This window comes from Homo sapiens, chromosome 18 (genome assembly GCF_000001405.40).
Source record: "Homo sapiens chromosome 18, GRCh38.p14 Primary Assembly".
Lineage (NCBI taxonomy): Eukaryota > Metazoa > Chordata > Mammalia > Primates > Hominidae > Homo > Homo sapiens.
The window spans coordinates 45,336,689-45,361,602 of NC_000018.10; the positions used below are offsets into that span (position 1 = coordinate 45,336,689).

The 24,914-nt window shown below is 43.3% G+C and overlaps 1 protein-coding gene across 4 annotated transcripts in view; it reads left to right on the forward strand.

Moving 5' to 3' along the window:
• SLC14A2 (solute carrier family 14 member 2) overlaps nucleotides 1-24,914 on the forward strand; it is a 515,726-nt gene that overhangs the window by 168,726 nt on the left and 322,086 nt on the right. The gene's annotated exons all lie outside the window — the stretch shown is intronic.

The window sequence follows — 24,914 nt, forward strand, 5'->3', positions numbered from 1 at the left end:
TGTTCCTCTGGTCCCATATTTCACATGGAAATGTAACAATAACTGCCTATGATGGCTCCTAGTTTCATCCATCACCAAAACTAAATCTACAGCCTGGAATTCAGCATCCTTCATCAACTGGCCTCTGTCTTTCCTCACAGCCCAAATGCATGGAGGCTCAAGGTCTATTGGTTCAGGTTCTTAAGTCAATTGATTGACCAGCAAGTATTTACTGAGTATACAATATGCATTTACCTTGGGGTCAGGCTGTTAAAGTGGCTCCAATGGAAGGGGAATACATTTCCACACTCAGGATGTTTATAGCCTAGTTTTTTTTTTTAAGTGTGCATACAAAAATATTTAGAAAAAAAAAACCCCTTAGATTATATAACCGTGTATTGGGTTGTATACCTCCAGCTCTAAGCAGGATGGGAGTTCAGAATAGGAACTCAGAAGGGCTGGAGTAGCCAGGAGACTTTGGCTATGAGGAGTACTTGAACTAGGCTTGGAAGGATGAGAATAAATTAGGATGGGGAATATGAAGGAGGGTCAATTTGGTAGAGGAGACCAACATGCAAAGAGGCATGAAATTCCTTGCAAACTGACCCATGCCGATTATTTAGTTATGGTTTGTAGATACTGGTTGCCTCAGAAGTAAAAGGTAGAAGAGGGATAAATGCCAGTTTTCCCACTAACTTGCTTCCAGGTAATAATTTACCAAGTAGTTAGCCCTCCATGTAGTACTCAATTCTGCCATATGCACACAAGTTTATTAGCAGACAAGTATGAAAACAGTCACACAACCTGTAAGCCAAAAATAAAATCCTAAACTTCCTCAACCAACTGACTAGACGCATTCTGGGCCAAGAGAACCCCAGAGAAACCTGAAAAACTGAATTCCCTGCCATGACAGGAAAGCAAGTGGGACATGCCTCATTATTCCTCATTATACCCTTCTCCCTTTGGAATTTAGGCAGAGCTGACCAGCATTAACATGATCTCTATAAATAAAATAGAGATCATAAGACTGACAACAGATTCCTTTTGGCAATAAGATACCAAATTCTAACCTGACTCTGGCATAGCATCACATGACAGATAGCTGACCCTGAAAGAAATCAAAATATGTAACCCCACAATATATTTCTTTGGTGTATTTTGAAATGGCCCTGCAAAGCCATCTTTAGTGGGGAAAATTTGCATCTGTAGAGATTCTCCAATAATGCAGCCAGGCTTTTCCCAGATCTAGGAGAGATTAAGAATATGACACCTTTTAAGGTCCCAAAACAGACATTTGCCACTTATTCTTTCTGAAGGCTGTAACCTGGAGGCTTCATCTACATAATAAGAACCCTGCTCTCCACAACCCCCTTATATCTTACCTCAAGCATTTCCTTCTACTGACTTCAAGTGTATAGACAAAGCTTAATTCTTTCAACCAATTGCCAGTCAGAAAATCTTTGAATCCACCTATGACCTGTAAGCTGACCACTACCCCTGATTCAAGTTATTCCACCTGTTTTTTTGTTTGTTTGTTTTTTGATTTTTTTTGAGACTGAGTCTTACTCTGTTACCCAGGCTGGAGTGCAGTGTCGTGATCTTGGCTCACTGCAAGCTCCGCCTCCTGGGTTCATGCCATTCTCCTGCCTCAGCCTCCCGATTAGCTGGGACTACAGGCGCTTGCCACCACACCTGGCTAATTTTTTGTATTTTTTAGTAGAGACAGGGTTTCACCCTCTTAGCCAGGATGGTTTCGATCTCCTGACTTCATGATCCGCCCGCCTCTGCCTCCCAAAGTGTTGGGATTACAGGTGTGAACCACTGTGCCCGGCCAAGTTATCCCACCTCTTTAGCTGAACCAATGTATACCTTTCATGTATTGATTCATGATTTTACCTACAATTTCTGCCTCTCTAAAGTGTATAAAAACAATGTGTAACCTCACCACGACAGGCCCACTTTCTCAGGACCTCTTGAGACTGTTCCCCAGGCCATAGTAACTCACACTGGCTCACAAAAAAAAAAAAAAAAAAAAAAAAAAAAAACTCTTTATTTACAGAGTTTATTTTTGTCAACAACCCTGTCAGCAACATGGGTCCTGTCCCTCTGTCCTCGTGTGAAAACGTGCACTGAAGCAGATGCAGCAATATTCTTGTGGCACAGTTCTGGTGACCTAATCTGATAAGGAAAGATAGGGGACCGATTGGGTTCCTAACCCCAGGGACACCATTCCAAAGTGACAACAAAATTGCTCTCACTAGATTCTTATACCTTTTTTTTTTTTCTTGAGATAGAGTCTTGCTCTGTCACCTAGGCTGGAGTGCAGTGGTGTGATCTTTGCTCACTGCAGCCTCCTCCTCCGGGGTTCAAGCAATTCTCCCACCTCAGCCTCCCAAGTAGCTGGGATTACAGGTGTGTGCCACCATGTTGGGCTAATTTTTCTGTTTCTGTTGTTGTTATTTGTTTGTTTGTTTTTAGTAGAGATAGGGTTTTGCCATGTTGGCCAGGCTGGTCTCAAACTCCCAACCTCAGGTGATCTGCCCACCTCTGCCTCCCAAAGTGCTGGGATTACAGGCACAAGCCACCGCACCTGGCCTCCTTATACCTCATTTATACTAGGACAAGACTGCCTGTACAACACTGCAAGCCAATTCCACATTCTAGCCATCAATGAAAACATGCTTTCTAACATCTGTTATTCTAATTAACAAAGCCACTGGTCATAACGAGAAATAAAGAAAGCTGAATGCCTGCAGTAGGTGCCTCTGGAGCTACAGTTTCTGATTTGAGTTTTTAAAATACTAACTATGCACCTCTGAAGTATGCAGTCCTTATTAAGGAACTACACATACTCATCAATCACCTCTAGGGTATAGATTAAAATGAACACACACACACACAAACACACACACACACACATTCATTATGCTATCTGCATTTTGAAGTAAATCGCAAACAATATAACTACATGGAGAAGAGAATGACCTGGATTGTGGACAATGAAAAGAGCATCAGCTGAGCAATGGATGGTGGGAAGAAAGGAAAGAGCAGGTTGTGTGGGCAGGTTTTTGGCAGATTGGTGATGCATTGGATTCCAGGCTGAGCAGGTTTGATGGCATAGTCCATGGGTAGGGTGACCATATAATTTATTGTCCAAAGGGGGACACTTCAGAGAGCAAAAGGATGCACTGTTAATAGTGCCAGGACAACTGATGTAAACTGGTACTGTCCTAGGAAAACAAGGCATATGGTCAGCTTCGCTGTGGTCATGGGATTAAAGCATAAGGAAAACGTGAAGAAGCTGATGAAACTGCATTTGAAGATGACTCATCCATCAGATATTAGAGCATAGCCTCTGCTTACCTGGGCACAGAAAAGAGTCCTGGGTGGCTTGGTAGGTCACATGTGCTATCTGAAAAGGAAACTCCCTTTCATTATGCTTTGATTAATTCTCTCACACTTACCCATCTATGGCCAGCATGGAACCCTACCTTTCTCAGAGCAGCATTTCTGAACATGTTCATCATCTCCAAATTTTGGCTTGTCCAGAAGCAATTACATGACAGGAAAAAAATTACCTCTCTTACCATTTTGCTTATGCAACCTTGGGCAGTTACTTATCTGGACCTAAGATTTAGAAATGACTGTGTGCTGATGGAGGGCTTTTCTCTATGTTATCTCATTCCTCCTGATCGCCCTGAGAAGTACATGCCCTGCCCATCTGTCAAAGGAGGAGACAAATAGCTGCCATACTTTTATTCCAGAGTTTGTGAAGATAAAGGGAGGTGAGAAATTCCCAGAAAAGTCAGAGAATTTGTTGTCCTGATTATGAAGGTAGAGTATCTCTGATATTCAATCGGAGTCCATCATAGAATGCCTAACAGAAAAGTCTTACCAATGTAAGTAATTCAAGGTATATTTGCTCTGGATCCTAAAGCAAGTTAATGGTAAAAATTACAATACAACTTTCCTGGTCTTTTGTAGGCTAGAGATTCTGAATTGAAAGCATTCTTTCTCTGCAATAATTGGTAGAGTAATGAACTATAAGCTGTAACCACAAACACTGTGTTTGTCAGAAAGGGGATCCTGTAGTATGGAGAAAAGAGTACTGGTGTGGAAGAAACCTTGAGTTCTGGTTCCTGCGATGGCCCTTTATGTGTGTCACTTTGGGCAAATCACAGCATGGGTAAGGGTGAAGCCACCCTTCACAACCTGCAACCCCAAAGGGTGGTCCCTGCTGGGAACAAATACAGTCAATGAAGGATTAGACCACAGGTTGGCCAGTCCCTTAACAATAGAGTTGCTGTATTGGAGAAGATAAGAAAAACAATTCTGAGCCATCCTCCTGTCATCCAGCCAGGAAGTCCATCTCAGATCAAGGCCCCAAGGGTGGCTGTAGAAAGGCTTGAATCATTTCTTTGCATGAATAGACAACTGACCAAGATTGTGGTTTATTTTTTCAATATATAGCCTCAGGCATTTCTCATATTTATTTGTTTCTGAACACGTATTTATTAAGCATCTACCACTTCCTTCCTAGGCACTGTTAAGTCCGGTGGGCCAAGTGTAAAGCAAAAAATTAACAAACAACCCTCAAAGACCTTATAATCGATGGAGGATAAAATAGAATTGATCTTCATTATTTGCCAGTTCCATATTTGCAAATTTGCCTGCTCACTAAAATGTATTGGTAACCTCATTTGCAGTCATGCACAGAGTGGTGAAAAATTACGGTGGCCTGAAAAGAAAGTTCCCAGCTGAGGTTTACCAGAGTGACACTGACTTGTTTAATCTCTCCTCCTATAAACAAATGTCTCTTTCACATTCTATTTGGTGCCACACATGTTCTCATTTTTGCACATTTTGTTGGTGAATTCACTTTTTTAAATGGCCCCCAAGCCTAGTGTTGAAACACTGTCTAGTATTACTTTTTTTTTTTTTTTTTTTTTTTTTTTGAGATGGACTTTTACTTGGCCACCTAGTGGTGTGGTCTCGGCTCCCTGCAACCTCTGCCTGCTGGGTTCAAGCAATTCTCCTGCCTCAGCATCCCGAGTTGCTGGAACTATAGGTGCCACCACACCTGGCTAATTTTTGTATTTTTAATAAAGACAGGTTTCACCATGTTGGCCAGACTGATCTCAAACTCCTGACCTCAAGTGATCTGCCTCCCTTTGCCTCCCAAAGTGCTGGGATTACAGGCACGAGCCACCACGCCTGATCCCACTGTCTAGTATTTCTAAGCACAAGAAGGCTGTGATGTGTCTTACAAAGAAAATATGTATTAGGCAAGCTTTGTTCAGCCTGGAGTTATAGTGTTGTTCACCATAAATTTAATATTAATGAATTAAAATATGTATTAAATACAGCATCTTTAAACAGAGGCATGCATAAGACAAGGTTATGTATTGATTGGTTGATAAAAATACTGTGACCAGAGGCTTACAATGAAGTAGCTGTACATTTCCCCTAGGAACGAGGTTCGGTATTCGCTAATTCAGGATTTATGGCAACATTGTTGAACAGAACTGTGAATAATGATAATCAACTCTGTTAACTAAAATAATAATAATAAAGGAATGCAGCTCTGAACAGTTTCTGACACTATGAGGTTAGGGTGACCAGATGAGACGTTGCTGGATAAGGGCTTGAGCTGAGATATGGCAGATAAGAAGAAGGGAAGTAGAAGAGTGTCTGGAAGGCAGGAACAGCAGGGGGATTCCTTTGAAAGAAGAGACAGCAGATCTGTGTAGCTGGGCTTGAGAGTGAGGGAGGATGTGTGGTTTAAAGTCAAGGGCAGAGACGTGAACACGGGCCAGTCCATGCTGGGACTTGGAGAATTTTAATTTAGAACAAAAGGGTTATGGTCAGACTGATATTTTGAGGAGGTCATTTTTGCTGAAATGTGGAGAATATAACTCAGAGCAACCAGATGAATGCAGGGAGCCCAAGAAAAGGTTATTGCTAGTGTCTTGCAGAAAGATAATGTTTGTTTGCACCACAATATTGATGACTAGGATGGAGAAATTCAACTATTCAAGACATACTTAGGAGGTAAATTGAGCCAGACTTGGTGTTGAACTGAATATGGAAAGATAATCATGAATTATTCCTAACGTCCAAGACCTTTCCATGACAATGCAATCTAGTGACTGGTGATTCTCTGAAACTTGAGCTCTGTCCTTGGAAGAAATATAGAACTTCCAGATCTACTTCTAGTTATAGAACTATTTCCAGAGCAGGAAGCTCCAGGTCTACCAATCCCTGTGTAACCATTATTCAGACCTTTAATCAGTCTTTCTTTGATACCTGGATTACAAACTCCGAACCATTGTCCCTGTTCTCCAAAACCCTGATGAGTTGCCAAGACTAGCAGTAGCGGGAGGCCAGAAAACTGGATAGAGGAACCTAAATCTGGGTGGCACAACCTACCTGAGTTAGTCCTATCCATGCTGCTGCTGAAAACTGTTCTCTCTGCTTTTTTTTTTTTTTTTTTTCCTCATAAGCAAAACCCTAACCCAACTCCAAGGGAAGCTCCTCAAAGTTACCTTCATTTATTGAAGGTTGCATTGTGTCTCTCTCTCAGCTCTGAGACTCTGCATCTGAAATGAGTCCCACAGAGGAGATGTGTTATTTTATTTGGGCTGCCTTGTGCCTGCCAGTATGTAGTTTCAGGTGATCAGAGGTAACCAATGCTAGGGCGTCGGGGTGCTGCATGATGGTCCCCTTGTTGGTTGAATGCTCCCATGACAGTCTCTTTCTCTCCTCTCACCTCACTACTCCTCCCTCCTGTGACCCCCTGACGTGCTACTGTGACACAGGGAGAGTTCGAAGCACTCCAGAGCCACAGGATTCCATGTCTCTCCATCCAATTAAAATGTTTTACTATCTTCCCTTTTTATCTCGCCTTTGTAATTGGATTCCCAGTTTCTCAATTTTCATGGCAGCAAAGGGAGGGGGAAGATGATAGCAATATCTGATAAAAATAAAATGCTATGATTTAATTTTGGCTGAAAGGATTCTCTCTTGCCTTTGTGAAGCCTTTGAAAGGATTCCTGAGTCCCTGACTCCATCAAATTGTGGCCCTGTGATTCCTTTGAGTAATCAAAGGGCCTTAGAAATTGCAGGCACCATGAGATCAAAAGAAATTTGAAATCACCGCCTGTACCAAATACATGAAGGATCCAGAAGGGACAATTTGTGGAGTGATGACAAGACTAGATTTTGTGTGACAGCAATATCTGATTATATGAGACCTCAGACACCCTGAAACTATAGTCCCTGGAGGGGAAGTAGGGAAACTGTATGAGGGCTCGTCTCCCAAGAAAGCAACATTTGTGATGCAATTTGTGCATAAAAGCAGCTACAATTTGCTGGCCCAATAACTTTCATCAAAGTATGTGAAAGCCCTCTGTGTAATTGTCTAGTTAGAATTTGTCACAATCATTGTCATTATATTATTATCACTCCTACTATGCCCCATAGTACCTGACAATCTCCCATGTATCTCCTTCACTAAATCAATATACACTGATCTATTCATTGGGGGACTACTTAATTTCTGTGAGTTTGAACGCCAGTCCTCCAATACCACTTAGATGTCATTCAATTCAATTCTGACACTACCTGAAGTTCTCTAAGACCACATAAACAAAGGGTTCCATCCTGAAAGACTGCCCCAACTTCCAACACCAGCCAAAAGTCAGGGTAACCCCAAGTTCCGCTGGCTGGCTGGCTGGCTACAAATTCACAGCTTCCTATAACACCCTTAGTTTTGATAATTCCCTAAAACAACTCACAGAACTCGGAAAACTTCTATGTTCACAATTACTAGTTTGTTATAAATAATACAAATAAACAACCAGATGAAGAGACACTTAGAGCAGGGTCTAGAAGGGTTCAGACAGGCAGATATTTTGGATGCAAGGGGGAAGAAGCAAATCCCAGAAACGTTGTCAAAAGGTTGGAGTCAGTAAGGTACCTTATGATAAATAAATCTCCTAATAGGGTCTTATTTAAATAACACTGTGCTGGGAGTGAGGCAGAAATCAAAAGATGAACCATTAAGCCTAGTAATAGGAAAGTGGTGTGCGTCAGTGGCATTACTGCATCCCAAGAAGCCACATCAATTAGGCACCTAATGCATGACCCGTCACGTAAACCAGTCCAGCCACACACCCCTCATGCTCTCACTATTGATTGTTGCCCAGATATTTGGAATTAAACTGAGCCTCCTAATTATCCAGCATGCAGAGCTGTGCTGGTCCTGCCATCAGGAGACTGAACCGTGGCCTCTTCCCAAGGAATTTCCCTCACTGTGATAAGCGTGCTGTCCCTGTGTCTCTGAAGAAAGTGTTGGACGTGCAGTATGATCCATGATAGCCTGAGACAGTGTGTAATGGAGTTTCACCATGTTCTGCCCAATTTCTCTGTGTTCCTTGTGCATTCTTGTTCATAAAGGTGCTTCATGTCAGTACCTTTCACTTTGTGAAGACCCACAGTGAGAAATAAAGAAAGCTGTCTGGCCAGGAAGTGAATGCCATGAGAATAGTCTCAGAGAACATCCTGTATTTACTCTGTGTTTCTTTCTACAAAGAAGGGGAGAATTGGTTCTAATCGTTATTCATGCATTTTAAAATACATTATTGAGAATTTACTTTATGTTAGGAACTCTGATAGGTGCCAGAGAGACAGATTTTTTAAAGGCAGAGTCCCTTTCCTCTAATGATGTCACTTCAGATATCTGATGGACAGGTGTTCAGGAGTGAAGCCTTCTCAGATCATGCCATGCACGTGATGTCCTGCAAAAGCTTCCCTACAAAGGCACGGCCCTGAGTCTTATCCCTTTTGTTTATTACCCTGATCTTTTTAGTCCTCAGGCAAACCTCTCCCACCAGGTCTGTCTTCTGGACTTTATTTATAAGCATGATCCTTGTGCATCATGGGTACTTCTCTATATCATTCCATTGGAAGACCATTCCACAGCTTATTTATCCAGATCTATCAATCTCTTTTAATACATCTGGATAAATAAATTTATCCAGTACTTATTTACTCAAGCTCCTTTGATAGATCTGAGAGTTATTTTCAATTGTATACTATGCAACAATTCATATATGTGCCTCCAATGAACTCCCTGTGAGTTTTAATCCAGAGGAAATACTTACCTGAAGAATTGCATGAATATAGAAAATGTGCATATTTAAATTTACTAGGTAATGCCAGCTGCTCTCCGAAATGGTGGTACCAATTTATACTCCCACTAACAGTAAATGAGAGTTCCCATCAGTCTGTATCCCTGTCAACACTTGGAATTGTCAGGCTTTAAAATGTTTGCCAGTATCATGGATGAGAAACTGTATCTCACCATAGTTTAGTCTGCATTTCCCTGATAACAAAAGGATGAACTTCTATTCGCACATGTTTTCATGATCTGTATTTTCTCTTCTATGAATTGACTATTCCAATGTTTTGTCTCCTTTTCTACTGGGTTCTCCTTTTTTTTCCCCTTGAGTTGGAGTTGCTCTGGTGCCTAGGCTGGAGTACAGTGGCACAATCTCAGCTCACTGCAACCTCTGCCTCCCAGGTTCAAGCAATTCTCCCACCTCAGCCTCCTGAATAGCTGGGATTACAGGCATGCACCACCACATCTGGCTAATTTTTGGTATTTTTAGTAGAGACAGGGTTTTGCCATGTTGGCCAGGCTGGTCTTGAACTCCTGACCTCAGGGGACCTACCCGCCTCGGCCTCCCAAAGTGCTGGGATTACAGGTGTGAGCCACCATGCCTGGTCCCTGGGTTGTCTTCTTCTTACTCACATTTACTAGTTTAGAAAACAAATTCTGAATATTGATCCTTTGTTGTTATGAGATGTGAATATTTTCTCTAAGTCTGAATTCTTTCATCTTTTTAGTGGCATCTTCTGATAAGCAGGAGTTTGGAAATTTAATATAAATTTATCAGTATCAAAACATCAGACCTAGGCTGGGCGCAGTAGCTCAGGCCTGTAATCCTAGCACTTTGAGAGGCCAAGATGGGTGGATCACATGAGGTCACGAGTTCGAGACCTGGCCAACATGATGAAACCCGGCCAACATGGTGAAACCCAGCCAACATGGTGAAACCCCATCTTGACTAAAAACACAACAGTTAGCCTGGCGTGGTGGCGGGCACCTGTAATCCCAGCTACTTGGGAGGCTGAGGCAGGAGAGTCACTTGAATCCGAGAGGCAGAGGTTGCAGTGAGCCAAGATCATGTCACTGCACTGCACTCCAGCCTGGGCAACACAGCGAGACTCAAAAATAAAAATAAAAATAAAAATAAATAAATAAATAAATAAATAAATAAACAAACAAACAAATCAGGCCTACTTTACCTCATGATTATATTTTCTTTTTTAAAAAGTTTTGTGGCCCTGCGTGGTGGCTCATGCCTGTAATCCCAGCACTTTGACAGGTCAAGGCAGGCCGATCACTTCAGCTCAGGAGTTCGAGACCAACCTGGGCAACATGGCAAAACTCCATCTCTACTAAAATTACAAAAATTAGCTGGGCATGGTGGCATGCACCTATAGTCCCAGCTACTTGGGAGGCTGAGGTGAAAGGATGGCTTGAGCCAGGGGACAGAGGTTGCATTGAGTCAAGATTGTGCCACTGCACTCTAGCCTGGGCAACAGAGTGAGACCCTGTCTCAAAAAACAAAATGTTTTGTTTTCCATATTTAGGTCTTTTACCTACCTGACATTGATTCATGTTCATAGTATGAAGTAGAGATCCAATATTTGACTTTATTTTCTTTTCATAAAGAGAACCACTTATCTCCACAAGAATGGGCCATTCCATCCTTCCTCTATAAATCTGCAGGGCCACCTCTGTCATAGATCAGGAACCCAGAGAAGACAAGGGCTGGTTTCTGGCTTTCTATTCTGTTTTCCATCTCTCCTGGTGCTAATACCATCTGGTTATAATAACTACAGCTTTACACTAAGTCTTTATATTGGAAGGTACCTCCTACCTTATTCTGATACTTCCATCATCTTGAAGCTGTAGTTTCTCTTTTTCTTTGATCTCCCTTTAGTCCCCACTCACCAACTACTGGATTTTCAAGACTTAGTATAAACTTCCATGTTGCCACAGACACTTCCAGAACAGGCCACTCAGAATGATTGCACTCAACTACCATGCTTTTTTAGTGCTTACACCTCTATGTTAGCATCTTTCAAGGTCTGTCTTAGGTCTTAGCCCATGGTCCGGGGTGTCCCAACCCACTTTATCTATGTCCACACATCTGTGAGCTCCCGAAAAAACCAGAAGTGTCATCTGTGCATTCCCATGGCACCTCATACCAGGTGGACAGCACATGGTAAGCACGAAGTGGAATTCGTCAATTGAAGCTCCTTGCCATCATGATGGCAGTGATTTCTGTACTGCTGCACCATCCAGAACACAGGGACAATTTCTCCTGCAGGAGTCTGCTTAACTCTTCTACCAGGCCTTGGATGCACTGGCTCAAAGCCTGCAGGAAGCCCAGAGCGGGTAGTACGACTTCAGTGAGAAATTCTGGTTTGTGAGATGTTTATGGAAAGTAGTTGCAAGATTTGAAATGGACCTTGACAGTATTTAGTCCTCTTATCATTTACGCATGTGTTAAAAACAAAGTTTAGATTTCTGAAAACCCTTGCATATAACTCATCTCACTTGGACCAGGTGACAAGGGGTCCAAATACTCCAGTGGCCTCCTCAGTTTTCCCATTAATCCCCTAATTCCTCTGCTACTCTGGGACTCAACTCCTTCACTGTAAAGTAAAGATATTGCACCATATCAGTCCCCAGGTGACTTCTAGCTCAAATATCCTATGGCTGGAATTATACTCATGGTCCCTACTATTCCTCCTAAGGCCCCAGTTATACTATTTGACCTTGACATCACTGGACCTGAACAGTCTTATTTAACAGATGAATGTTGGACTCAATGCAATCATTTGCAGTTCCAACATGCTATAATTCTGTACGTGCCATATCCAATCTTGGATGGGTAGAACAGTAATGATTTTCTCTATTTAATAAATAAGGAAACTGAGCCCCAGAGAACTGGAGTGGCTTGCCCGGGACAACACTGTAGAAAGTGAAAAAGCAAAGACTGATAGTTCAGACTCTAATGATCAAGCTCAAGCATCTGTTTCCTGGATCATTCTTTTCTTTGCATGCAGACCAGTTGTGTGGCTCTGCCTTCCTTTTACATGGCTAGTCATAGAAAGACTTTGAAATCAGCAGTAGTTGACCAGAATGCTCATGTCAGAGGTATCAGCTTGCTTCAGGCTCCTGCTGGTCTCTTGTATCGGTGATAAACCCGTTGTTGACTCTGAGGAAAGTGTTGGACGTGCAGTACAATTCATGACAGCCTGCGACAGTGTGTAATGGAGTTTCACCATGTTCTGCCCAATTTCTCTGTGCTCATTTCGCTTTCTTGTTCATAAAGGTGCTTCCTGTTCCTTGTCCATTTGGATACAGCAGATCATATTTGGAAGGACTATCAGTTCACTGAAAAGCTTCACTTGATGAAAAACACATGATGCAAGCTGGGAATTATATCAAATAGGAGAAATGTTACATAATCGGGAATACATAGAAATGTTCCAGGGCAGATCTATTTTCCTTTGTAGCCACATGAGAATGTTGCAGTATACCAAAAGTGGGATGCTGGGGCCCATTGATCATGTTTCAGTGATAGAAATAGATACTGTTGTTTTAATAAGTTTGCTAGCAATCCCCTTTTCCCCTGCCCTGTGTTTTGATTGGCTGGCCACATTCCAACCTTCTCCTAGAGATGGAATATATGTCAATGGGCTTCCTAGGCAGTAGACCAGCACATCCATTCCAGAACACAGCAAAGGTCAAGCAAGACAGACAGCAACAGTGGTCCCCATGTTGCACTGGGCAATTCAATTCTCACAGGTTGCGCAGTGAATGCAGCAGGAATGGGCAGATTGCACAAACATAACCCATCTTGGTTACAGCTCTCTCCTCTCCTGGGCATTTCCCCAAATGTTTCCCTGGAATCATCCAAGGTGTTGTCATCTCCAGATTATAAAAAATTAAAAGGCAAGAAGTGGAACGTAGATGAAGATTAAGAGAACTAACTAGGCATAACTTAGCTAAATGAAAATGCCAGGGAACCTGAAAGCCATCTCCAAGGTTTTTACATGCTTAGGTAATTTGGCAAAAGGCAATGTCTAAATGCATCAATGGCAGGAAACATTGACTACTTCAAGAAGCATAAGAAATCAGAAGTAGTCAAAATAATCAATATTATCAACTTTTTATTGAGCTTCTACTATTTCTCCAACCCCAGGCTTGGCACCAAAGAGGATTTAAGACAAAAGCAAAATAATTACTGCACTCACTGTTTGGGTCAACAAAGACAAAACACAGACCCTTGAGCATGGTCCAGTGAGTGAGACTGACAGCTTGCTAAAAGAGTTCAGGGCAGGGAGCATTTCCTATGACTGAAGGTAGCCAGAAAGCCAGAGAAACGTGCGAGAAACAGATTTAGAGTGTTTTCACCAAAGTGAATAAATGTCGTTAAAAACCATTCTGGATAAAACCTCAGAATCACAATGCATTACTAACATACACTAAACAGTCACCATTTTTGATATCTCTGATTCCTGAGAACACCCCCATGGCTCAGATACAGTTGATTATAAAACAAACACACTCATAGCTCAAGGTCACAGGGACAGCACGTTCATCACAGTGAGGGAAATTCCTTGGGAAGAGGCCGCAGTTCAGTCTCCTGATGGCAGGACCAGCACAGCTCTGCATGCTGGATAATTAGGAGGCTCAGTTTAATTCCAAATATCTGGGCAACAATCAATAGTGAGAGCATGAGGGGTGTGTGGCTGGACTAGTTTATGTGACGGGTCACACATTAGGTACCTAATTGATGTGGCTTCTCGGGATGCGGTAATGCCGCTGACGCACACCACTTTCCTATTACTAGGCTTAATGGTTCATCTTTTGATTTCTGCCTCACTCCCAGCACAGTGTTATTTAAATAAGACCCTATTAGGGATTTATTTATCACAAGGAAAAGATTTATCCAGGAAAAAAAAAAAAGCTCCCTGAGACACAGCAGTTCCGCTTATAGAAGCACCATAATAAAGAAGACAATAGCAATATTTTTACTGTTTAGGTCGATACAATTATAGGATGAGAGAAGGCAAGAAGCAAAAAATATAAATTTCACACTCAGTGACCTAGTAATTTGTCAGTCATTTTCTGCATTAAACCTAATGCATCCTCTGGGACTGGGGCAGAGGATACCAGAGAAATCTCAGCACTCCTGGCCTGACGTTCCTAACTCCACACCGTCTCTCCCTTTCTTCTTTCTTCTTGATCATTTTCTCTATGTGTGTAATTGTCTTTGTCTTCTCAGTTCCTGTGCTTTCTGATGATGGTGTTCTTTAGTCTTTTATTCTGGTACCAATTGCTGGAAACATAATCACCTATTTGTATTTCATTATTGAAGGAAAGGGACCTTATATGAGGTGGTAGAAAAATCTTGACCCTGATCAGTTTAACTTTATCACCATGGCAGAAGAAGAAAATCCTATCCTTCCTGGGTCTCCAACCCAAATAGCCTCATTTTTTTCCCATGCAAGCCCTTTTCTATTCCACTTATGCACCGTTTTTTGTTTGTTTGTTTTGAAACAGAGTCTCTCTTTCTGTTGCTCCAACTGGTGTTCAGTGGTGTGATCCTGGCTCACTACAGCCTTGACCTTCTAGGCTCAAGCAACCCTCCTGCCTGAGCCCCCCAAGTAGCTGGGACTACAGGCATGTACCACCACACCCAGCTAATTTTGTTCATTTTTTTAAAGACAAGGTCTCACTATGTTGCCCAGGCTGGTCTTGAACTCCTGGACTCAAGTGATCCTCCCACCTGAGCCTCCCAAAAATGCTGGTATTACAGGCGTGAGCCACCATGCCCAGCCTACTTATGTACGCTCAGTACCTACAGTATACTATATTTCCAGCCAATTACTGGGTTTGAAAAGTATAGTAAAGAGGCAGAAGGGAAATGTTTCCCTCTGAGAGCTTACAACCTACATGGAGAGATGAGACAGACATGAAACAGAGGACTACAAATCACATCACAGAGTTTTAGTATGGGGCTGGAGAGGCAAGAAAGGGAGCAGGTGGAACACTTGGATTCAAATATCAGAAGGACTGTAATGGGAAAGGAGTAGATAAACAGGAGAGCTTTGGGAACACAAATGGGCTCAAGTCATAGGACCATCAGGGAGACAGATATTAGGTCAATGTAAAGAAAACGTCTCAGTCCATGAAAAAGAGTCATCTGACAACAGCAGGTGATGTATATGAGGAAGTCGTGGACAGGGCTGTGGTGGGGGCTTGCTGCACTGGACAGGGCATGGGACTGTGGCGCCTTCAAACCTCAGGTTCTTGATGTGTTTTAGGAATCTGTAGAAGGTGCACATTCATGAGGTCTTCAGTCACCAGGAAATACTTCAAAGAAAAGGCAAACACTGAGTTGAGTCCTGTGTAAATTTTCAGAGAGACCATGGAGAAGGGGCTTCTGGAAAGGGAATGACACACACACAACCTGTACCCCTGTACCCCACCCCATACCCATTCTTTCTTATGATTCTCCATCCAGAGGGCAAGTTTTCCTCTTTTAGGTAGAGACGAATTGTTCATGACATAGTCATTTATCCCCCAAAGAGGAGGAAGAGGCACATAAGTAGACTAAACTTTAAAATTTGATACCTTTATTTATTTATTTTCTCTTCTGTCTTCCCATTCTTCCTATTCTATCTTTCAAAATGACTTACTGAGGCCCTAGGCACTCGGGCTAGATTCCACAGATAGAATGATGTGTAAGGGCAGATTTGATCCTTGCCCCTGTAGAGCTTACAACCCATCGAGAGAGACAGACATTAGCCAAATACTGTCACAAATAAATGTTTACAAGTGACACCAAAGGAAAATAAAAGAAGTGGTAAGAACAGGTAAGAGGAAGCCCAGATTGAGGCTGTGGTGGGGACAGAGCAAGCTTCCCGGAAGAAAGGAGAGTTGTGCTGAGATCTAAGGTTGAGGGACAGTAACTGGGTAAAAGGGGGTGGCAGTGAAGAGGGTCAAGAGATAAGGAGAGAAGGAAAAATATTAAATAATATTCCAGGAAGAGGAAACAGCATCCCCCAGAATCACAGCAGATTTAGAGAGACTCCAGGGATGCCTCCTGCATGGTCAGAACAAATTTATAGACAAATAAAAAGTGACATACAGAAATCAAAAGTGAGGTACAGAAACAGCTGGATTGGTTACAGGTTGGCCTTTGTTTCATTTGAATACAGTCTGAACACTCAGCAGTCTACGAGTGGTTGAAGTGTGGCTGCTGGGATTGGCCAAGACTCAGCTATTGTTACATAAGCATACACCTAAGTTAGGTTTTCTGTCTTCTCTGCCTGTTAAGCTAGGTTACCGTTCGTCCACAAGGACTCAAATATAGAAGTACGGAGTCCTTCTCAGGCCATAGTTTGCTTTAACAGAGGGCGGACTACAAATGGTAGAAATTCAAAGAAAACTCTAGGAAATGCCAACAATTATACATATCCACAGTGGTGGAAGACAGTTGAATTAGGTTCATAATTCATGACTAGGGATACAGGAAAAGAATGATGGTAAACTGGTGAAATGTGGGAACCAGAGATTTCCATAAATAGCACAGTTCTGATTTTGTACAGTTCTTTGGGAAGATGGGAAAGTTAGTGTCCTTGTAGGTCAATTGTGTTACAGAAAATATTTATGACTGGATCCATGTGACCTGGTATAGCACAGTTCTCCTGAAGGTCCAGTTATAACTTACAGATTAAAATTGTTCTTACCTCTTAGTTATCAATGCACAAATTATCCCTAGTGACCTGGGACCAGATGTGGCTTTCCTTCCCACCACATCGTTAAGCCTCAATGGGACAACAATAAGAATGCATACTAAGTGTGGAAGATCCCTAGGGCTGGTGCGTTTGAGAGAGTCTGGGTGTGGCAGGCATGCATGAAGGCTGTGACTCATGGTTTTCTTCTCAGCACCTTCCAAGACTAAATATACACCCCTGGATTGACCAGCCTTTTATATTAGTCTACCTATGGCTGCTTGAGACCTGCTTTACTCTAAAATCTTAGAGGCTTATGTTAAATGGAGATTAAACTAGTTGTTAATTGTTTTCTTTTTCCTGAGGTTAAAAAGTTTTTTAGCAAGATGTATGGGGACTCTTCCAAGAAAGGCACGATGGTGGAGATGATGGACAGTGTTTGTGCTCTCCCTTCACCATGAGAAAGAGGCAAAATTCTTCCCTTCATCTGTAAAATATTGAAGGTGCTGGAGGTAATTTTTCGCAGGGGGTAGAGTTGACATAAGTTATAGGGTGAATGAATAATTGTTCTCTATAACATCAATACTACGTAAATATAAAGACAAATTACCTACACTATAACCAGTAGAAGTCGCTGATTCAAGCTTATCTAAGCTATTGATGTTCCCGGGATCACCAGTCCAACTTGTTAGCATTCTATTTACCAGATCAATAAGCCTCAAGGGTCCCTAGTGAATCAATCAGCAGAGCTCCTAGACACTGGGAGGAGGCTGATTTCTGAGAGACCTTGAGAAATAGGCAGAGCTGGGATGCACTGGCTTCTGGGTGATTGGTGGCAGCAGGGGTGGCTGTGACCCATTCCTCCGCTCACTACTTCAACCCATCTTGAGTAAGGTCTGCCATGTGAGTGACACAAGAGAACAACCATGTCAGAGACAGTGTTGACTTGCGGAGGCTCCCAGTTCAGTGGAGCAGACAAGCTTGCAAGCGTGTCCTCACATCCCAGAGGGATACCTGGAGCCCTGTCTGGTGGAGTCAGGGAGCTATACCAGAGCTGGTGATGCTTGGTTATCTGGTGGGGTCAGCTTGTATATGTCTTGGCAAAGCCACTGCTCTGGTAAAGGACAATTTCTGTGGAAATGGCCAGATGAGGAAAAATTAGGAAGGAGATGAAGTTTTCCAAATTTCATGGTATATGCTGCACTTCCCCAACCTTCACTCTCCATGTAGCCTACTGGGTCTACTATTCCACAAAGTGGCTCAACCTCCAAATGACCTCTGGTTTACCCCTATTAAAATCCCAAAGGACTTTCAGCTGTGTGGACTGGGCACTCACTAAAAGATGTCAATGACTGCTAATTCTATGTTTTGTTTTGTTTGTTTTGTTTTGTTTTAAGAAGTATGATATCTTAAATGGAGCATATATTGGTAGAACTGAGGAAAGATAAAATTATGGAAGAAACAATTGAGTCTGACCTGCCTTTGAGATGAGGAAACAGGGCTCCTTCACCTCCTGGTTCTACAATCTAGGGCAGAGAGATGTTCATGGATTTCCATGTTAATCTCTTTGAGCCCAAATATCCTAGTCTGTGAAATGGGGACAATCATAATTGACCTTTCGCAAGGAGACAATGTATACAGTGCACGGGGCCTGGCACATAGTAAGTGCTCAAAGAATGACAAACTTTATGATGCTAATAGAGATATATCTCTAATCCTATAGAGATATAAGAGACTTAGGCCTGGCGCGGTGGCTCACACCTGTAATCCCAGCACTTTGGGAGGCCGAGGTGGGTGGATCACGAGGGCAGGAGTTCGAGACCAGCCTGACCAATACGGTGAAACCCTGTCTCTACTAAAAATACATTAAAAAATTAGCCAGGCATGGTGGTGTGTGCCTGTAATCCCAGCTACTCAGGAGGCTGAGGCAGGAGAATCACTTGAACCGAGGAAGCAGAGGTTGCAGTGAGCCGAGATCGCACCATTGCACTCCAGCCTGGGCGACAGAGTGATACTCTGTCTCAAAAAAAAAAAAAAAAAAAAAAACCCTGATTTTTTTTAGCTGCCAGGGCAGTTGGGGAGGAAAGGTATTTTTGGAGAGGAAGTACAAAGACCCCTGCCACACACTCCCACAGTCAGGCTACATAAGGCTTACTGTTGCTTCAGACAGAATGTCTGGATATGAAACCTCTGAACACTACTGTCTGAATGCACCCACTCATCTCAGAACACTGGGTGGGCTGACTAGGGAGCATGGTCATATTTGATTTCTGAGCGGACAGTCAAGGCAGGCTTAGCATTCCAGGAAGCAAGAGTTAAAGAGACCTAGATGGGTTAATCTCAACCAAGGTATAAGGCAGGAGCTGAATACAGGAGCTGGGGAGACTAGAGGCAAAGAGAAAATCAGAAGACGGAGACTGAAACATAACTGGGGCAGGGGTTGGGGAACAGTCCAGGACTGCTGAGAACATTGCAGGGGTTTTGTGACAGCTTTTGTGATAGCTTTGATGGGGTGTGTGAGGGATTTGTGGACATGCCAAGTTTCAGACTACCTTATCATTGACTGAAACCAAAACTTCACTCAGTGTAGTGTGACCTCTGGTGGTCCAAAAATTCAAAAGGATGGGTTCTGTGGCTCCTTGAGCATGTTCAATACCTTCTCCAAGTCTCAGTTTATAAATCTGTACAACAGGACTGACACTGCTGGGTCTTAAAGCTTTCTGTGGGACAAAATGAGATCATGGATATAGAACAGCCTTGTTTTCTATGACAGGCTACTATTATGACTATGATTTTTAGAGTTTCAATAATCATCATCATATAGGAGTGCTGGTTAAACAGCAAAACCCATCCAACAGACTTTTATCTTATTTAGGGAATTTCCCCAGAGTGTGACGGTATCCCACTTACAGATGCCATGGAAGAAACCTGTCACATCAGCACAGACAGTGACAAATTGGACTAATGAGATACGGGAAACGATGTGGGAAGTGATCGAACCTGAGACCAGAAAGCTGACTTTCCTTAAGGTCATAGCTGGAGGAAAGGAAATAAATAAAATGTAGGCCAACAGTCTAGATACTCAAACATCAAGATATGGGTTAGGAACAACATAATATTTAGTGGCCTGTATCAGAGGTGCTCAAACATGGCTGGCGGTTACTAGAATTAGCCCAGAAGCTTTTACAAAAATATAGGCCTATTGAATCAGAAACTCTGGGTAGTGTCTGGGACAAATGTTTGCAATAGTTTCCTAAATGATTGGCATGATCAACCAGCCAGGTTTGGAAATGAGAGGTCTGTATCAGGTCTTGGAGCCAGATACAAGAAGCCATCAGCCCTGCAGAATCAAGAGCCTGGGAACCTGGGGCTGGGCATTTAGCTGGACCACCACGGGGGCACCAGGTGCTAGAACACAGCAGGAAGGATGATGCAGCAGGCTTCACTGGCCTCATCTTCACTGGATTTTGACTATTTGTTTAATTAGGGTTATATACATTCTAGAAGCATAGGGACTTTTATTGGGGATGTTGGAGAGGCAGTCTGTAGCTATGAGGAGAGAGGAAGCTACAGTGCTAAGAAGGGGGACCAGGAGGAGTGGCTGAGGGTAAGACTAAGACAACAGCTTTTCTCTTCCCACTCTTTCCCTCATTCTTTCCTGAGGCAGTGGCCTTGGGACACAATTTTTTTTTTTTTTTTTTTTGCTATTAATACTATCAGGGCAGGTTGAGAAAACAGATCTTGAGGGGGAAATACGGTGGAATTGGAAGAAAGAGGCCAGGCATGGTGGCTCACGCCTGTAATCCTAGCAATTTGGGAGACTGAGGCAGGAGGATACTTGAGCCCAGGAGTTCAAGACTAGCCTGGACAACACAGCCAGACCCCATCTCCCAAAAAAGTGTTTTAAAAAGTTAGCTGGGCGTGGTGGCACATGCGTGAGCCCAGGAATTTGAGGCTTCAGTTAGACATGATAGCACCACTGAGCTCCAGCCTTGGTGACAGAGTAAGACCCTGTCTCAAAGAAATAAAAATAAAGAAATAAGAAGAAGGAAGGGGAGGAAGGAAAAAGAAGACCACCCCACAGTGTGTGGGTCTGCAGGGTGTGGAGCCCCTCTGCAGCTTCAGGCAGAGGAGGGAAGAGAAGCATAGGCCTGAGATGAGCCATCCCTCCAGGGCTCATGACCTGAGGAACATCAAGGAAGATTCAGGCAGTGGACTTGCAGGAACCCTGATGAAGAAAGGCTGAAAAAAGGCTCATTCCCTGCCACATCTTAGGAGACTTCCAGAAAGCCCCCAGCTCTGAAGCACAGAGTTTTTGGTAACCACAAATGCAAAAATAAATCACAAATCACTCTCCTTGGAGACATGACAAAGTTAGTGAATCAGCACAGATGAGCTGGCAAGGGCCATATAATTCCCCAATCAAGGTAGTTGATTGTGCATATCTTCAGTTGAAGAAAAAAATTAAAAATAAACTCTCTGAAGGAGAGAGAGAGGCAGAGCAGAGAGGTTTGGTGGTCTACCCTTTTTGCTTGGTGAAGTGCCCAATGAGGACTCAACATTAAATCTTCAAAAATTTGCCAGAGAGACTGAGTTGCAGTGAATGGTGTGCTTTGGAAGGGAGGAAAGAGTAGAAACCAGCTTGGTTTCCCTGGCAGAAGCCTGTTTACCACGTGCATTGATTACTTTTGCAGCCACACTCTCTAATGTGCTTAGGTGGCCAGTGATTAATGACGCTTGGACAGCAGCCTGGTTGCTTTGTTGTGACAGATGATGCCTCGCCCACTTTATATTCCCGCTACTGGGGCTTCATTTCTATGAAAAAGAAAGGACCCCAAAACCACTCCCTGCTCCTATAGGCCACTTCTGTCGGGCTGCTCCTTCTGGAAGCAGTACCTCCTTGGGTTCAGATGAAACTCTGTAAAATGAGAATATTGAAAGACTCCACAGAGTCCTATTGGCCCACTAGAGGAATACAATGAAACACTCATAAAACTCGACTTACTTCAAGTAGCCTTTCTTTCCCCATAATTTTTTTTAGGAGACAGGGTCTTGCTGTGTTGCCCAGACTGAAGAGCAGTGACATAATTATAGCTCACTGCAGCCTCTACCTCTTAGGCTCAAGCAATCCTGCCGCCTCAGCCTCCTGAGTACAGAGATTACAGTCATACACTACTGCACCCAGCTAACTTTTTCGTATTTTTTTTGCAAAGATGGTGATCTTGCTATGTTGCTGGTCTCGAATTCCTGACCTCAAACAGTCCTCCCACCTCAATCTCCCACAAAGTGCTGGGATTACAGGCATGAGACACCATGCCCAGCCTCTTTCCCCACAATTAAATGTACAATGTATGACCAAACCGGTATAGCACAGAGAAAGGAAGGTGAACTTTGAATATCAGATCCAAACCTGACTTCTAACACTTTTAGTTGCATGGCCTTGGGCAAGTTAATAAACATCTGCAAAATGGAAGCAAGGATTCCTACACCTGCCACCTAGAGTTTTGGGGAGAGTCAGATGAGATAATGTCACTTTTTACAGTCTCTGAAGTATACCAAGCAGCAATCCAATGCCTTAAAGGTGATGCTGACTCATGGTTCCATCCGGGATTCTTCCCAATTTTCCTGCCAGTTGTTTGGATTTCTCTCAGGTCCCCTTTTTATAGGGCTGGTTTGAGCTGAAATGGAAGAGTGGGCTGAGGTGGAAGATAAGCTGAGAAGAGAGTTTGGGGTCAGACTGTGAAAAGAGATGGGAAGCAGGCCCCCCCGTCTAGCGTTTGTTCCAGAGTGGCTCCCCAGGGCAATGGTTCCTGCTCCAGCACCCCTCCTCCTCCTCTGCCTCTCTGCATCAGCCAGTTAATGTCTAACCCTGTGGTGCCTCCTTCTCCAGGGAAGAGATAAGGAGTAGGCCTCCCCGGACAGGCCCAGGCTGCATTCCTCAGTGCCCTGGGCTCTCAAGGGCACACCTCTGTGATCAGGTGCTTATCTCCAGGTGTTCGCCTAAAGGGAGGTCATGAAAAATCAACACCAATCAGGGCAGTTTCCTTGGAAGCTGAAATTATCTCACAGGCATCTCAGAGCAGGTGCCAGGCTATTTTGGGACAGCAATCACTGTGTGCAGAGGGGGAGCATCGCCTCTCCTCTCAAACCAGGCAGCAGCCTGGAGAGCACAAATTATGGCAAGCTGCTTCCAGCCCATTATGTCTGTGCTGCCACCAAATGGGGCAGGGTGTCCTGGCATGGCACGGGTCTGCTGCCCAGCCACCGGCAAGGGCTTCTGTCCAACTGATGAAATGATAGGGGCTCAGCTTTCTGGACAGAAACAGAGCTTCCCTCACCTATATGGTAAAGTTCACATTTCTTAGCTTGGAATTCAAGTCTCCCTGATTTCCAAACTCACTGCAATCTCCACTCAAAATCTTTGCCTGGATTCTTCTCAAGTTCATTTCCAGCCCAGGCCCTGCACTCCTGTCAGGAGATGTCTTCATTTTAGCCCAGACGAGCTGTACTCAGCTCCGGACTTCTGCCCAACCTACCCTCACCTCCTCCCTTCCCAGTAAAAGCTCCTCTGATTGGTTTTTTATTTCTCCAGATTCACTGTCTTCATCAACATATACTTCCTTCCCTGATGGCTGCCCCAGCCCCACAAAGATGTTTCCCTTTTCTGCCCAGGCATTGTTGGAACCACAGAAGCCAGTCGTGCATCCCTATGGACGCTTCAGTGGGCAATGATGATTTTCTGGGCCTACGACACATCCCTCCTCAAAGAAAAACAGAAAGAGACTCAAGGGTCTTCTATTTCTTTGTGTCCCCATAGTATCTAAGAGTAAAGTCTGGGCACTGAATAACTACTCATTTAATTTCTACCTCTCCTACCTCCTAAATCTTCTGCAGAGCTCAGGATCTCCCCTGACTTGTCAAAATCTCAAGCCACTCAGATCCTCAATGCCAGTTATAAGCAACATCCCATTTTCTAAAGGCTTCTGGTAAGCCAGTCCTTTCTCTCCAGACAGTCCATGTCTAAGGATGGGACATGTCTTGTGTGTACTTCCCCAGACAACATAGAAAGAAGATGCCCATTGTGTGTTTCATTTGCCTAAAGGCTCTCTAGCTGGTGATCTGATTTCCAAGAAGGGAAATAACTTGCACTGTAAACTGATTTATTAAAATAGGCGCTCATGATCCTTATCTTTTAGAAGCCAACAATTTTAAAAATATGCTACAGAGAGAAAGGGCAATTGAAATGACAAGAACTAACAGCTCAGTATTTTGAAAACATCAGGGCTCTGAAGAAGAAGGGGAGATTTTGTAGTGTTGTACATTGAAAGTTTATCTGAAACATTCCCCCATCTCTCTTTTCCTCTCTCTTTGTCCCTCTGTGCCACCCCTAATGTATTCACTTTTTTCTCTACTCACTCCCTCGCTTCCAATATTTAAGTCTTTAAAAACATTGAAATAAAATGCAATGGACAGGACCCGTATCCGTCAGTTCTTGTTCTCTTCCCCTGAAACTGGGTAGCACATCTTGTCGTTCCTGTCAGACCACCCAGCTAGAAGTCCCCTCTCCTCTCTCTGAGACCTGATAGCATTTTGTGTCCCTCTGATACAGCACAGATGAAGTCACCCTGGATTGTAGTCATCATGTGTGTGATTTTTATCCCTTATTTGCGTAATAAACCCTTAATAGAAGAGACTGGGTTTCATTCATCCCCCAGTAGCCACAGGACAGAATGCAGTGTTTTTTGTTATAAGGGGGTGGCCTTCTGCTAAAGGAATGAGTGAGCTGTCATTTGAAACCATGATTCTCTCCAGGGCTTGGCAGCCCATGGACACATTGACATTAATCACCACATTTTGGTCCTACCCAGCTCCCACCTACACAACCAGACAGTCTCACACATTGACTTGATTAGAATTAAGAATCAAGGAAAAGGGCACCTCTACAATTTTATTGAATGGAATCCCAGACAGAACCCTAATATCAAAAACAGATGGGACAGTTTAAAACTTCTGGGCTTGGCAGAAACCACTTTGTTGTATGCAGAGTC